The 16,175-nt window shown below is 30.9% G+C and overlaps 1 protein-coding gene across 4 annotated transcripts in view; it reads right to left on the reverse strand.

Annotated features, from left to right (window-relative positions):
- Nucleotides 1-16,175, reverse strand: part of KLHL1 (kelch like family member 1) — a 407,856-nt gene that overhangs the window by 134,440 nt on the left and 257,241 nt on the right. For all 4 annotated transcript variants that reach the window (NM_001286725.2, NM_020866.3, XM_017020678.3 and 1 more), the window contains one exon: nt 3,940-4,126. In NM_001286725.2, the coding sequence (NP_001273654.1) occupies nt 3,940-4,126 (187 nt within the window). The remainder of the gene's footprint in view (nt 1-3,939; nt 4,127-16,175) is intronic.

Raw genomic sequence — 16,175 nt, forward strand, 5'->3', positions numbered from 1 at the left:
CTCCAAAATTAATTAACTAAGAAAATGTCAATGAGTCTACCTTACAAATATCCAAAATGTTTGAAAAATTTCAGAGTGTTAATGGTTTAGTTATAGACAAAATACCTACATTTCAAAAATTATAGGACATAAATCAAGTGAAATAATCTATGGAGAAAACTGTAGAATAAAAGAGAAAAAGGACACTTCTGACTGTTGGAGAATAGAAGACTCAGGCTGAAATGCCCTCTAATTCTAATACCAGCCCACCTGGGCAAATTACAAAAAAAATTATTTGCATTGCTCGTCTTACATGAAAATAAGAGAAATTTTCAAGGGCATAGTCAAATAGCTGAAGGAACAGTGAGGTGAAACCAGAGAGAGAGCTAAAGGAATACAAAAGCCAGCATCTCTTGTGGACAGAGGTTTCCAACAATAAGATCTGGAGCATCTGCCTTGGGCCAAACACAAGGCGGGAGAACAAGGAACCAGAGATGCTGCATTAAGCCTGAATGGTTAAAGGGGGCTGACATGGCTCTAAGTTACTGAGGCCTTTGGTTCTGGGTTGAAGCAGATTCAGGCTCATTAGAGGAAGGCATCTGCAAAATGTAGGCCCCTAAGAAGTCCCTGAGAGTAAAGAAAATTAATTATGACTTTAAAATAATATTACCTGACACAGAAGGAATCAAACTTCTGTTGTCAGAAACAACAAACAACAGATTTAGAACCCAACCTTTTAGATGTTGAAATTATTAGCCCCAGGATATAAAATAAAATGTGTAATTGTTAAGAAATAATGGACAGAATGAAAAAAAATAAGTGAAGAACATTAAAATTCATAAATAAATATATAAATCTGAAAAAATTCAAGAAGTTTCAGAAATAGACAACCTCAAAATTACAAATACACAGGGGCTTCTTTTAAACATGATGGATTAGTTTGTATCAGACAAACTGTTCCCACATGAGTAACTATAAAGCTTCAGTTCATAGTACAAAATTTAGCTGTTTTAAGACATTAGAGACTAAAAAATACAGCTAACACTTAAAAGCCTGAAGTCCCAGAAAGAGGGGACGTGAATGGAAATGAGCCTGACATTCTTTGCCATTTTTGCCTTTAGAAATGATTGATTCATAAGCAGCTCTAGGCTTAGAGACCTTGCAATGCATGTGGGCTGAGGCCTCTGGGCAGTCTGATGGGGCTGAAAAGACACAAATTGCAGCTCAGGGCAATCAAGGCAGTCAGGACCTTAGACTCCTGTCCCTCAGAAAAGAGAATGGCAGGGCAACACTGCTTGTCTTCTCTGGGCGTTTGCTGATTTCGAAGATGTACACAGCAAGAGGCAGAAATCCAGGCAGAAAATGGAAGCTAAGATGTTAACTTAGCTTATAAATAGTTGTAAGGCATAGATTTATCTCAGAACTAGGCAAAGCTAGTTCTGAGTTAAAAATGAAACAGCATTCAGGGCTCACCAAGAATGAGTGGCCCTGGTATAAACATTGAAAGCCAAACAAGAGTAAGGCAGTCCTCACAAACGCTAACTCTTTGTCTCAAATCATCCAATTCTTGTTTGGAAGAAGGCAATTTTCTGTTACTCTAAGTGTTTGCCTAAAATAAAGTAAATTATGTCTTACAAAACTTAATGTTATCCAGAGCATCTATGTATTTTCTTATGCAATATCCATCATTCCTTCAAACATTGCCAGGTGTGTTATGCTACCTACTAGATATTTACAGCAGACTTCTGAAGTATTAACGTAATTTCATTTAAAATAAAGAAAATGACAGGATTGTACCATAGGCTGTTACTACTGACCAAACAATGCTCAAGAAACTGCAAAAAAAATGCAATAATTAGAAGAGAGGTATTAATATATCAGTATTCATTATTATATATGTGATTAAATACATAAAAAATTAAATACAAAAATTTCAATTTCACTACTAAGAAGGGAAATATAAATGTAATGATGAACACTTGGGGATTGACTATACGACTCTTTATATTTTGTTATGTTAAAACTTACTCATATAAAAAGGTTTTTTAAGACAAAATTTTTTTGACAAGACAGTAAGACTGGCACTCTGTATAACTTGGTAATATTATAAATTCTTATATATTTTTGAAAAAGAAATTAGCTTATACCTCACAACGGCTTTTCTTTCCCACCCACTAATTTTTCATCTAGGTGTATATTTAAGGAAATACTCAGAGATTAGGATAAACTTTTATGTATGTGGGTGCTAATGGTGGCATTATTTATAAAAAAATTATTGAATCCCAGCAAAGTGTTTAATAATAGGGTTAAGCTCAAGTAAACTGTGACATTTCTGTGTGAATAATAATTAGTAAGCAATTTGAAATGTCTTTCAAAAATTTAATAACATAATTTCACACACACAATGTAAGTAATGATTACAAGCAACAAAAGTAACAACTTCAAGAATGTTAGTAAATCTAAATATACCTATACTTAGGTACCTAGCTATATAATGTCCGAGAGAGGAAATTGAATACAATCATAAATAGGTATATTTGTATATAAATATGTATAGATATATAGTTATACTATATATATACACATACATCTCTCTCTCTATATATATGTGTGTGTATATATATATATGTGTATATATATATGTGTGTGTGTGTGTATATATATATATATATACACATATATATATAGATCTCATATTTTTTGAAGTAAACATCAAAATCACCATCCAGATTCTGTCTTCTGGGAAAGAGACTACCCCAGATGGAAGACATTTTATTGTGTTTTAAAGAAGTTTCTAAGGCTTTCCTTCTTCAATAATAGTATATTCTAAGCTTTAGTACCTTCTCCCAGGACCAATATTGTCTTTTATGAGTGCCTATATTCATCCATGTGATGACAAACATTTTGCCCTTTTATTCTCTTGATTTGCTATGTACTTATAAAATAAATCTTATTTCTTTAGGCTTCTGCATTTTCATATTTACAGGAATTGCTCTTTTCCAAAAATAAACTATGAAAACCATGTAACAGCCATAGGATATCCTTTTGACAGACAACAAATGAGAATGTGTCATTCTCTATTGATTACATCAGTTTTTTTCCCTGCAGCTACAATTTTGAAATCTCAGTTCACAGTGATTGAAATAAGTTTTTTTTTTGTTCTGATTTATCTTAATAACAATTTTAAAAAAGATGTTGGATATTTGGTCATATTCTATTGTTGCCAATTCCAGCTTTTTAAATAAATACTTGAAATATTTTATGGTTAATTATATCATTTATTAGAAACAAACATGAAAATTACACTTTTTGCATATTATTTTTCTTGTGTACTTATTCAGGAAAATTAAGACAGACATAAGAAAATCTGAAGAGGACAAATTTTTGGAGATTTTTCCAATAACTCTAAAAACGTAAGAATAAAATCTTCAAATGCATATGTTTAGTTTTTAAACAAATAATTTATTTTCTTTTGAAGGACTAAATTAGTAAACACAATTAAACTTATAAATTATAACTTTCACCATTCTTATACTTCTTTATAATTGTCTATTTATTTATCTGGCTTCTACATGATATTCTCAACTTCTCAAAGACAGAGATTCTTTTCATAATTGAGATCCCAGCAAGAATTTGCCTTGCATTTCACATTTCTTGGCATTGAAATAGCATTCTCAATATATCCAACAAATTGTTTGGCTTGTGTTAAGTGATTCAAATCTCTTTTTTATTTTATATGAACTCTTGTACATAAGCACAAGAAATGAATAAGGAACTTAAAGATGAATAAGAAGCAGACAGCAGCTACAATTAAGGAGATATTTAATTTCTCCCTTAATCTTAAATTACAATAATTAAAGCTGAGTTTATGTCATTTTTTGTAGTATCACCATTACAATATAAAAGCTGCAACACGGTATAACACAGGATGTATAGTTATATAAATCCAGAATTAAATACCTTTGTTGTTATCCATTCCTCCTACAGCATACAAAGTTCCGACTGTAGATTTTCTGGGTTTAGTTCTCGGACTTTGCATTAAAGTTCTTCTTTCTGGCAATAGATGGTATTTCATTGCTTCTAGAATCAGCTTTTGACATTCCAGATCATTCTTAAATAATGCATGATTTTCTAGGTCAGCCAATATCTGTGAATAATACACAATAGCTGTTAATAATGTTTTCAAAGAGATGAACATTATGTCATTCCTTAAAACTAGAAGTTTAATGTCTGTGATATTATCCTTATATTGAGCAGGATGCAGGGTGTAGTAAGAATTCATTACAGTAACAAATAAAAATGTATAAAATGAATGGCTTTCAACAGAGACAGAATGGATATTATTTTTGATTCAATATTATTTATCATTTTACCACACAGAGTAAAAAAAACACTTATAGTGATCAGCTTTTCTATTCATTTTCTTTTTATGAAAGCTGTCTGAAAATCAAGTATAGTTACTTGTGTTGGCCATAAACATGTCAGGTGAAAGACATTTAATTTATTGAAAATAGACTTCAACAAATTAAGCCATTACAAGCTTACTGTAAGTGTTCATATATTTAATTTAAAATGTTTCAAGTATAGTTTAAATCTCTTTTAAATTCAAAATAACTCAATAAAGATGAAAAAATTTCTTCATAACATCTCTTTAATTATATAAGGAATTTAAAAGTTGTGTATTAGGCAAAGTAATAGTTTCCAATAGTGAAAATTTTATACCAAAATTCAGCACCCAATAGACCAATAGAGTGAGACCAGTAGTTTTAAAGTATATTGTGTCTATTTTTTGCTATAATAGGTTATTGTCTCTGCAAATTATTTTGTGTACATTTATTTGCACACATCCAAAGTATCTTTTATTTTCCTCTTTCTCTTTCGCTCTTTAGATTATTTTTCTCCTTGATTCTTTTAGTGTCTTCTTTTTTAATGGATCCTGTTTCACTTTGAGTGACAATAAAATGTGTCCCATAGATTTAGAAAATAAATAAGTAGAAAATTTAGCATTTACTCACTGAACTTTTCTTGTACATTGATAAAAAAATTGTACCACATCTGTACACAAATGTTCATTGAATGAATAAAAATGGCAGCATGTGACTAATTAAATTTAACACTATAATTATGACTTTAATTAAAATGTGTAAGCCTACCTAATATATAAAACTATAAGAGGTGCCATAAAGAGTATAGAAACACATAAGATACACAGTATAATTTTTTTTTGAGACAAACTCTCACTCTGTCACCCAGGCTGGAGTGCAGTGGTGTGATCTCGGCTCACTGCAACCTCTGCTTCCCAGGTTCAAGCAATTCTCCTGCCTCAGTCTCCTGAGTAGTTGGGATTACAGATGTGCACCACCATGCCCAACTTATTTTTGTGTTTTTAGTAGAGACAGAGTTTCACCATGTCGGCCAGGCTAGTCTCGAACTCCTGACCTCAGGTGATCCACCCATCTCTGTCTCCCAGATTGCTGGGATTACAGGTGTGAGCCACTGTGCCTGGCCCAGAACAGTTTTAATCTGAATAAGAAACATAATATTAGTTACTAGATGCTTTGGAATTACATAAGTGAAGATGATTAATTACATTCTTGGCTCAGTTTCCTTTTGTTGTATACTAATACCTTAGCTGCCTTTCTACGCACTTTTATTTTGAACATTAACTTTATATATATATATATATGTATGTATGTATGTATGTATGTATGTATGTATGTATAGAAGATCTCCAATGGAAAGTTTTGAAAGGACTACTATTTTTAGTAAATTTTTTTTTTTTTATTCACCAAAGGGACTATTTCTAACAAGGGCCCAGTGGTGTTCATAAACTTTATAATTATGTTTCTATCTATCTACAATGACTCTTGATCATCTGTGTGTCAAATATATAGTTTCTTGTATCTGAGTCTTTTCATTGCCACAGAAGGAAAATAATTAACCTCTACAGTACTAAATTTATGTATATGTAAAGCTGGCTCTCATGAATTCTCATTTTTCTTCTCTCCTTTTCACTCCTTTTGGGAAAATTTGGGATTAGTTGATCATAAAGATACTATTCTTTCATTTGGAACACACGTTAGGAATAGCTTAACTAGATAAATAGTTAAAGCATTACAAATAAAAAATAAAAATCTTTAAACTTTTTCCCCTTCAATATCACATCTCATATTCAACATAGTATTGGAAGTCTTAGTCAGAACAATCAGGAAAGAGAAAGAAATAAAAGGCCTCCAAATTGGTAAAGAAGAAGTCAAGTTTCTCCTGTTTACTGATTATATAGTCTTATATCTAGAAAAACCAAAAGACTCAACAAAAAAAACAGTAGGTTTGATAAATAAAGTTGCAGGACATGAAATCAATATACAAAAGTCAGCAGTGTTTCTTGTTTCTATATGCTAATAACAATCTAGTTGAGAAAAAAAAACAAGTAGTCCATTTTATTTACAGTGACTAAAAAGAAAACTAGGAATAAATGTAACTAAGGAAGTGAAAGATCTCTACAGGGAAAATTACAAAACACTAATGAAAGAAATTGAAGATAACACAAACAAATAAAAAAAATCCCATGCTCACAGATCAGAAGAATTAATATCATTAAAATGACCGCATTGCTCAAATCATTCTATAGGCTAAACACAATCTCTTTCAAATTACCAAAGTCATTTTTTCACAGAATTGGATAAACAATTCTAAAATATATATAAAACATCAAACCAAAAAAGAGCCCAAATGTCAAAGCAATCCTGATCAAAAAGAACAAAACTGGAGGTATCACATTACCTGACTTAACCCAAGCAGCACGGTATTTCTCTAAAGATAGATATATAGGCCAATGGAACAGAATAGAGAGGCCAGAAATAAAGCCACGTATTTACTGCTAACTGATCTTTAAGAAAGTCAACAAGAACTTACACTTGGGAAAGGACACCCTCTTCAATAAATGGTGCTGGGAAAATTGGATAGCCACATGCAGAAGAATGAAACTAGACTCCTATCTGTCACCATATACAAAAATCAACCCAAAATGAATTAAATACACAAATGTAAGTTGCAAAACTATTAATATAAAAACACTAGAAGAAAACCTAGAGAAAGTTCTCATAAAGAGTGGTCTAAGCAAAGGATTTATGACTAAGACATCAAAAGCACAGGCAACAACAATAAAAAGACAAATGGGACTATATCAAATTAAAAAGCTTCTGCACAACAAAGGAAAAAAATCAACAAAGTGAAAAGAAAATCTGCTTAATGGGAGAAATATTAGCAAATTATTTATGCAAGAGAGGACAAATACGCAGAATGTACAGGAAACAAAAAACAACTCAACAAGAAAAAACTAATCCCATTAAAAAGTGGGCGAAGGACATGACTAGGTATTTCTCTAAAGAAAACATACAAATGGCCCAACAGGTATATGCTAAAATGCTCAACATCATTAATCATCAGAGAAATATAAATCAAAACCATAATGAAATACTATCTTATCCCAGTCAGAATGACTATTTAAGAAGACAAAAAATAACATGATGGTGTGAATGAGGAGAAAATGAAACTTACATAGTGTTTGTTGGAAGGTAAACTAGTAAAGCCACTATGGAAAACAATGTGGAGATTTCTCAAAAAACTAAAAGTAGAATTACCATTTGATCCAGCAATTCTACTACTGGATATCTACCCAAAGGAAAAGAAATCAGTATATCAAAGGATACTTGCATTCACATGTTTATTGCAGCACTATTTATAATAGCAAAGATATGGAATCAACCTACGTGCCCATCAATGGGTTAATGAATAAAGAAAATGTGGTATATATACACAATAGAATGCTACTTGGCCATAAGAAAGAATAAAATCATGCCATTTATAGCAACATGTATGGAACTGGAGGTCATTATCTTAAGTGAAATAAGCCAGGCACTAAAAGACAAATATCACATGTTCTCACTTTTATGTGGGAGTTAAGAAAATTCATTATATGGAGGTAGAGAGTTGAAAGACAGATAACAGAGACTGTAAAGGGTGAGTGGGAGATATGGAGAACAAGGAAGCAAACTGAGTTAAAGGGTAAAACTCTCAGTAAGATAGAAGGATTAAATTCAATGTATGATAGCAGAGTAGGGTGACTATACCTAACAAAAATGTATTGTTCTCAGGTGACAGACACGCCAAATACCCTGCCTTGATCACAACACACTATATGCACGTAACAAAATTTCTCATGTACTTCATAAATTTGTACAAATAAGCAAAAGACAAAAAAATAGAAAAAAAATTAGAAATGTACTCCTTTTTCATGTTTCTTCTTGCAAAATTGTAACAGAATAAAAAAGTGAATGCAAGAGTTTGGAAACAGCTTAGGTTTTAGAAAAGTAGACTCATGACATAGATTTAAATATCTTTAAATTTTGGCATATGAATGCAGAGAATAATTTATATTAAAACGAGTTTCTATGCTATCCCTAGTATTTTGATGGCTCCTTTAACTAATTAGGGTGGATTAATTTTAGCTTACAAGTAACCCTATGCCTTCTTGACTTCAGTACCATGTAAAAATAATTTTAGCATAGTATTTTTACATAAATAGGACTTGGGTTTAATTTCTCATATTTTACACTTAAAAATTATATGTTAGTGGTACAGTAAGTTATAAGTAATTTTAAAAATGATTTAGGATGGCCAAAGTACAAGATTGATTAAATGAAATTTCAATAAGTGGTATCTTCTACTGAGGTTTAATCTTGTGAATTCTTGTACAGCTACAAATCAGAAAAGGCTTCCTGTGTTAGCTTAGACTTTTTTTTTATACTTTAAGTTCTAGGGTACATGTGCACAATGTGGAGGTTTGTTACATATGTACACATGTGCCATGTTGGTGTGCTGCACCCATTAACTCGTCATTTACATTTACTTGGACAACTTTAAGGCAATAGACTAATGTTATTGATTAATTAATGATAATTTGTGAATAACTTTTCAATTTCTAAGAAAATGTTACAAACAAATACATGCAAAGATAGATAAGGATTATATCAAATTTTATAAATAATGGATAATTATAAAAGAAAAAATAAATTCTATAAAAATAAAGTATTGAAAGATCATCAACTCTATGTGCCTAGGTTTATAATATTTTAAAGTAATAAATTTAAAGAAATACAATGTTCAATGCCCATAGATGTACACATAAAAATATATTATGAATTATTTATTTCAATATATGACATGGCAAATAAAAATAAATAAGAATAAAATAAAATGAAAATAAAATGTGTCTTGTATTTAATAAAATGACCAAGGTATGCTGTATTCAAATACTATTTTCCTTTTTATGAATAAAATATTGTGTAAAATGTAACTTTGGCCTACTCCTACTCATTTTGACAAACTAAATTACTTATAACCACTGTAACCTATTGTTGTATATTTTTAAATTATTACTTGTAACAGTTTCTTGCTTATAAACACCATAGCTTGTGTTTGCATTTCGTCTCTGACAACTCTAATGACTTCATCTAAACCTCATTACCTTTAAAGGCCCTACCTCCTAATAGCATTACTGTGGGGGTTAGGCCAACCACATGTGAGTTTGGGTAGGACAGAAATATCAGCCCATAACAGATCCTACTAGGTACAATTTGATCATAATTTTATTATGAGTACTACCCAGCTTCCTATTGCCAGTTTGTTATAAAATGTTCATTTTCTGAGTAATTTGATTCAAGCAATAAGGTTTTTCTTCTGGGTTTTTTATTTATTTATTTATTTATTAAGACAACAAACATCACAGTATATAAGAACCAGAAATCTAAATCCCTTCACTTCATATGTACAAAAGAAATTTCTGTTTTCTTAGCACACATCTTGGAACTGGTACAGGACATGCTTCTTTGTTCCTATGTCAATTTATGGTGAAAACTAAAAAAAAATAAGTATTCGATCCAGGAAATATTTGCTCCCGCAGGATGAGACATCTGTGAACCCACAAAAATAGCTAGCAAGACTAGAACTTGCCCTTCAACACTTGCTTCAAGAGCCTAACCTTGCTGTGCACACTAATCCTAAGCTATTATGATATAAACTGTACATAAGCCCCACCATTTTACCACAGTGCAAAGGCTGCTTTAAAATAACCCAGGCCAAGCTCTGGAATCATAAATATCTTCTTGTGACTTTTTTCTATAGAGGATACACCAAGGCTTTGTATAGGTAGTGTTCTTTCATAGTGGAATAGGTATAATAAAGTCTGCTTGCTTATTACAAAACATATTTTGTTGTCTTATAGGAATTCAACACTGAACACATTTCACCAATAATAGCTACAAATAAATTGCAAATTCAATGAATGTACTTCTCAGAGAAGAAAATCAAATAGAATGAAAACTTACCCACTTTGTCATTCTGCTGTACATTTTAGTGTTACAAAAATATGTTTCAACTATTTATATTATGCAAAAAATTTAGCAGAAATAAAAGTTAGCTAGTTTTTGGTATTGTTTACTCTGTGAGCAATTTCAACTTAAATATGAAACCATATTATATAGTTGAAATTGCAAGTATCTATTATTTTATTTCATGTGTATTGTTTCTATATACCTGACAAAATTTCAAGTACATTTTATAAACACACAAAAAATGAGATACTGTATTTCTATAACTTATACTAGCACTTGCTCTTTGGAAAATGATGATAAAATTTAATACTAACATGAATATTTCTATGAAGGTAATGAACAAAATATCTTGAAATCATGTGGAGCATCAAGGTAAAACATAACTAAGTGGAGTTACGATGGAATACTCTGTTTCTGTTTTAAATTCTCATTTCTAATATTACTGCTTCAAGATCCTATGGGCTCAGAGATGTCGATATTTGAAAAAAAATAGATCTTAAAAAGTCAATATTTGAGGTTTGCCTTGTTAAATGTAGTAAACTATAATATAATAGTTTACTATAATACATACAGGAAAATGTCTCTTTGCAAGAAAAATAAAATCATTAATAAGTTGCTTTATAACCTAATTAGGTAACCTGGAGATAATAATATACTTCTATCATACAAGACAACAAACTAAATAACAAGTTTTTAAAATCCTGTTCTATGCTATCCAAACGAATTAAACATTTCCAGTGTTCTGGTTTATGTATATACAAATTTTAGGATAAAAGATACAGAGCATAAGACTTTTCCACAGGCAATATGTTCTTTCGTTAACAACTCTGTCAGCTAGGTGGTCACTTTGCAGATATGCCCTATCTCCTTATAACCTTGTCAGTTTTCTTTGTGATTAAATAATAACTGATGCGTTATAGGGTAACCCAGTAGCTTCAGAATCAAACATGACCAGGAAATATATAGGATAAACTCACACAATTTTCAGAATTTACCAATATGAAAAATCGGAATAATTTAGCCATTTATAGCTAGAACTTTTGACAACGAATTTGTTAGAGCATTCCAGCTGCCAGAAATGTCATGAACTTTTAATTAGAATAAGTATTTTCCCTTCAGTTACCTGTTTGAAAGCATTATTTTCTTTTCACATACTCTTCTAAAGTTCTATTGGCTTTATTAACAAGTTCATTTTGGTTAGAAAAAAATATATATATGAATAAATACATTTGTTAAAATATTATTCATTGTAAATAACCATTAAATTTGTTACTATAATACACCATAATTTACTTGTTGATGGTTTCATACATTGAACCACATGATCAAAATAGTCACATGTTTAGCAACATTAAAGCATTGCTGAGTGTTTTAATCCTGTGTGCACACTCTTCAAATTGCAGCTTTCCAAGAGTATTATATGATTTTATTTGAAATGTTTGTAATAATACATAAATTATGATGCTAAAGGTATTTCAAATAATCTTCTGAAAGTATTGCTTTATAAAAATAGGATGCATCATTCAAGTATCTAGATTTTGCAGTGTTTTTGCAATCTCTCAAACAAAAAATAGAATCAATTTTCATGTCTTTTTAAAAAATTGTCTTCTTTCTGTAAAAATTATCTAATGTGTCAAGAAAAATACCCTCTTGTCTAGAATCCTTGTCATGATTCTCTGCACTATATTGCCTGTATAGATGCTGCTTGATATTGTAAATAACTTTTACAATACTATCATAAGTAAACAAAACAAGATACATGAATTTATTCTTGCTGGATGACCTACTTTTATTACATAAATGACATACACTCTAATTTTATAGTAAAAGCCAGAAAACATTTACATTATAAAAACTTGTATTACAGACAACCTTCTAAAATATCATTTAAGAAATATAAATTATAGCAACACCCTACTATACAGTTCACATCCAGAAATAAGAAAAGACCTACATCATAAGCTATTCCTTAAGTTAGAGTAATACTGCATTAGCAAAAAAAAAAAAAAAAAAAAAAACATAATTTAAAGGCAGGAAAATAGGAGATGTACCAAGCGCAGCAATCACATCTATACCTTTCATCTGGTCATGGAGTCCACTGCAAAATGGAAGGCAATATTGAATAAATACTTAAAGAAAAATAAGTTTAAACATATTATAGACCAAAGAAAAAGTACTAACTCTTCTAAAACTATATCCTTGGGCTATATTATGAAAACATATATAGTTATGAAAACACTCTCACATTCATGATAAAGTGACAAAATTTCATGTACTTCATCTTATTTCATAATATCTCAAAATTTTGTTTTCCTACTGGATCTTGTGCTAAAAATAAACTCAGAATTTGAATCTATAAAACAAAATTGATTCCTATTAGAAGTGACAGTCCTTAGAGAATAAATGACAGTTTCATAGCTTGCCTTTCAAGTTTTGTGCATGACAAAATGAAAGCCATGAATAATAAAATATTATCTCATAAGCTGCAGAAAAATTTTTATTTCAATGTCTTATAAATATATCTAATACAAATAAAATAATTTCAGGTATTTGCATTAAAGCAGTCTAAGACATTCCACAGGGAAACAATGATCATATTCAGTGCTAAATGAACCCTGAGCCTATTTAAGGTGCTGGTGAAAGGAAAGAGTTCAGTCATCACAGAACTTTCCAGGAACACAATAAATAGTGAGCCGTGGCTAGGACTGTCAAACTGTACAAGCGAAAACAGAAAGTGCCTCATACCTAGAGAGCTTTGTTTGACCCTTCCCCACCTTTCAGACTTTATTTATGTTCAAAGACATACAGAGAGAAAAATGGACAATTATGCTGGAAACTTGGCAGTATGAGACAGTTTGTTCACCAAAGCTCGTAGCACTTCATTAGTGACTATTTGAGTAGATGTGATTGCCAACAGCCTTAGTTTCCACAAGTGGGACTAACTCTACCATTGTCAATATCAGCCTGCAGCCTGAAAGAGTATACCACCCAGGAGTAGATAGTTCCTCCTCTTACATTTAAAGTCCCTTTTAGCTTCAGTTAAAAATAATTTTGGCAAAGAATTGAATCTTGAAATTTTAAGAGACTGTAGTATTTCCCAATCCATCCTACTGACATAACTACTATTCTGGCCAAATTATTTAAGAATATTATTTATATTTAAAAATGAAAGAAAAGTAGATACAACAGAGCATTCCAAATCATTTTCCATGGCTGTCACTTCAAAATGAAAACACAAATTAATGACATGCTAAAACTTACATCAGATACATTTGAATGATTCCTCCTCAAGCATTTGAGGAAACAAGAAAAAAATGCATATGAAATAAGTAGCAGGTTCATTAATTTTATTCTGAATACAGAAATAGTTGATTGCCTTAACATGAATAATAATTGGCCAAGCTGACAGTATAAGTACAGAAGAATAATGACATAATCAAAATAAGTAGAGCTCACAAAATTAACCGAAATGAAAGTTCTTATTAGCAACAAGTAAAATGGGTTTTGTGATGCTATAATTTTTGATTAACTTTTATTTATTTAACATGGGTTTACTGTTCCATATTTTGAAAGCTCAGAATTTCTAAAAGTAAAATAAGTTAACCTTCCACCCTGTATGAACATCGCCTTCATCCTTAATGATTTAATTGCATCCGATTTGGGCTCAGCACTTTTCATTCCTTCATTCCTTCCTTCATTCATTCATCAAATATTTAGTCAGTGCTTATTTTGTCCAAGGTGCTATAATAGGTCTCGAATAACATCATTTTCACTCACCACTAATCTATTTTACTCAAGTCCAACCTTCTCTCTGTTCCCCTAAAACATCTTAATTCTTTCATGTTTAGGCTATATTTAAGAGTATACATTAGTTTGTTATTGTTTGTAAGACATTATTCAACAAATTTAGATGAGTATGCCAAAAATTCTACAATATAACTCTTTTTAATCTATAGTCACTTTCCCCAATACCCTGAAGCACGTTATTCTACATTTTATATGTTAGCTCTTCTGATCTCTTTCTTCTCATTGGAACAGATCATGCTGTATTCTTAAGCCAAGCACATTTATGCTCTCTTTCTCTCTCTCTCTATCTTACTGTCCTTAATGCCTTTTTCCTCTGGGGCTTCTATTAAAATATGACCCGAATCTTCAGAGTCTAGTTGAAGGTCCTATTACTTTCATGAAGATTTACTTCATCACTCAGGTCACAGTCAACATTTAGTTTTATCAGTCATATCAGATTTTGAACAGTTACCATATATGTAGTCACTTAAAGGCTTAAAAATATGCTAAATTATAAACTTGCAGAAAATCAGAAAAAAAAATCTGCTATTTATTGTTGGTACCACTAACAGAGCTATAGGCCCCATGATTTGCTCAAGAACTATTTAAGTGATTGATTATTTACTGTCATTCTTGAATCTATTAATTTATTTTAAATAATTTATTCATTACCAAAGTTTGAAAATATATAATTCATAAGCAGAAATATGTTCAATATCACATCTCAAATTCAATGCATACGTTAATAATAATTATAAATGTTTATGTCTATTAGAAACCTCTTTGCTAAACAATCAACCAAATATCTATATTACTAAATGATTTATTCCAGACCCAGTTGATAGCATGTTTATTTTCAGTCACATTCGATAGCAAAAATCCATTACAGAAATAATTTGGGCTCATGGACATCACTGCAAGGTGATTTGACCCTTAACTAGGAAACATTAACCTGAATATTCCACTAACAATTCAAACTCATATATTTAAATCTGAACTTATTTTTCCCATTACTCTTCTTCCTGTAATTGACTTTGTCTTCTATTTTTATTGATGATTTAGGGTACTTAATTACCTGCACTTCACTTTTAAGCTTCAACTATTTAAGCTACTTCAAACTTTTTTTTGAGAATATGATATATGAATACATATTTCCAAAATTTGTTTTCCTTCCTGAGATCCCTGGCTCATTGATAATTCCACTTAGCAAAGTTCTTTATCTCTTTGGTCAACCTCACATCCAAACAGTCACCAAATACAGTTGATTACTATAATATTGTCTAGGACCCTTCCATTTCACTACTCCCAAATACTGTTGATTACTATGAAACTGTCTACGACCCTTCCATTTCATTACTTGCTTTCCATTCCAAAAGCCACTTCCCTAGTTGAAATTCTCATTAACACTTTTCCAAATTTTTGAGAAAGATCCATCACTTAAATTCTTATCTTTGATACCAGCTATCATATACAGAATTCAAACTACTCCCACAGCGTCCTAAAACATACACATTGATCATTCACTGTCCTGCTGTCTTGTTTTAATTCCATGTACTACAACTGAAAGTATTTCCTAATGTAACTTAAAGCACCTTGTTTAGGCTCATTTGTCACTGTGCCTCCAGATCAACCTTCTACATTGTCAAGGCTGTTCTATACATTATCCTTCACGAGAACAATTTTCGCACTTTGTCTTTAATGTGGCTTTTTTCTTCTTTTGAACTATCTGACTGACTCCTAGTTTTACCCTGTGTTTCTAAATAGCGTTTGAAGGTTATCTTTATTTTATCTATAAACAAGTCTCCACTGGACTAGGCCTTATCTTCAACATGTTCTGTAATTTCTTCAATTCACAATTTATAACTGTATTGTTTATACTTAGTAGTCACAACTGAAAAACATACATATATACTTTTATTTTTTATGCTTTTATAGGTAGCTGTCTCTTTTTTAAGTACTGTGTTTACTTAAATTTTATGCTTGAAATTCAAAGAGTATATTTTTATAAAATTCTGT

This window comes from Homo sapiens, chromosome 13 (genome assembly GCF_000001405.40).
Source record: "Homo sapiens chromosome 13, GRCh38.p14 Primary Assembly".
In the NCBI taxonomy this organism is placed as follows: Eukaryota; Metazoa; Chordata; class Mammalia; order Primates; family Hominidae; genus Homo; species Homo sapiens.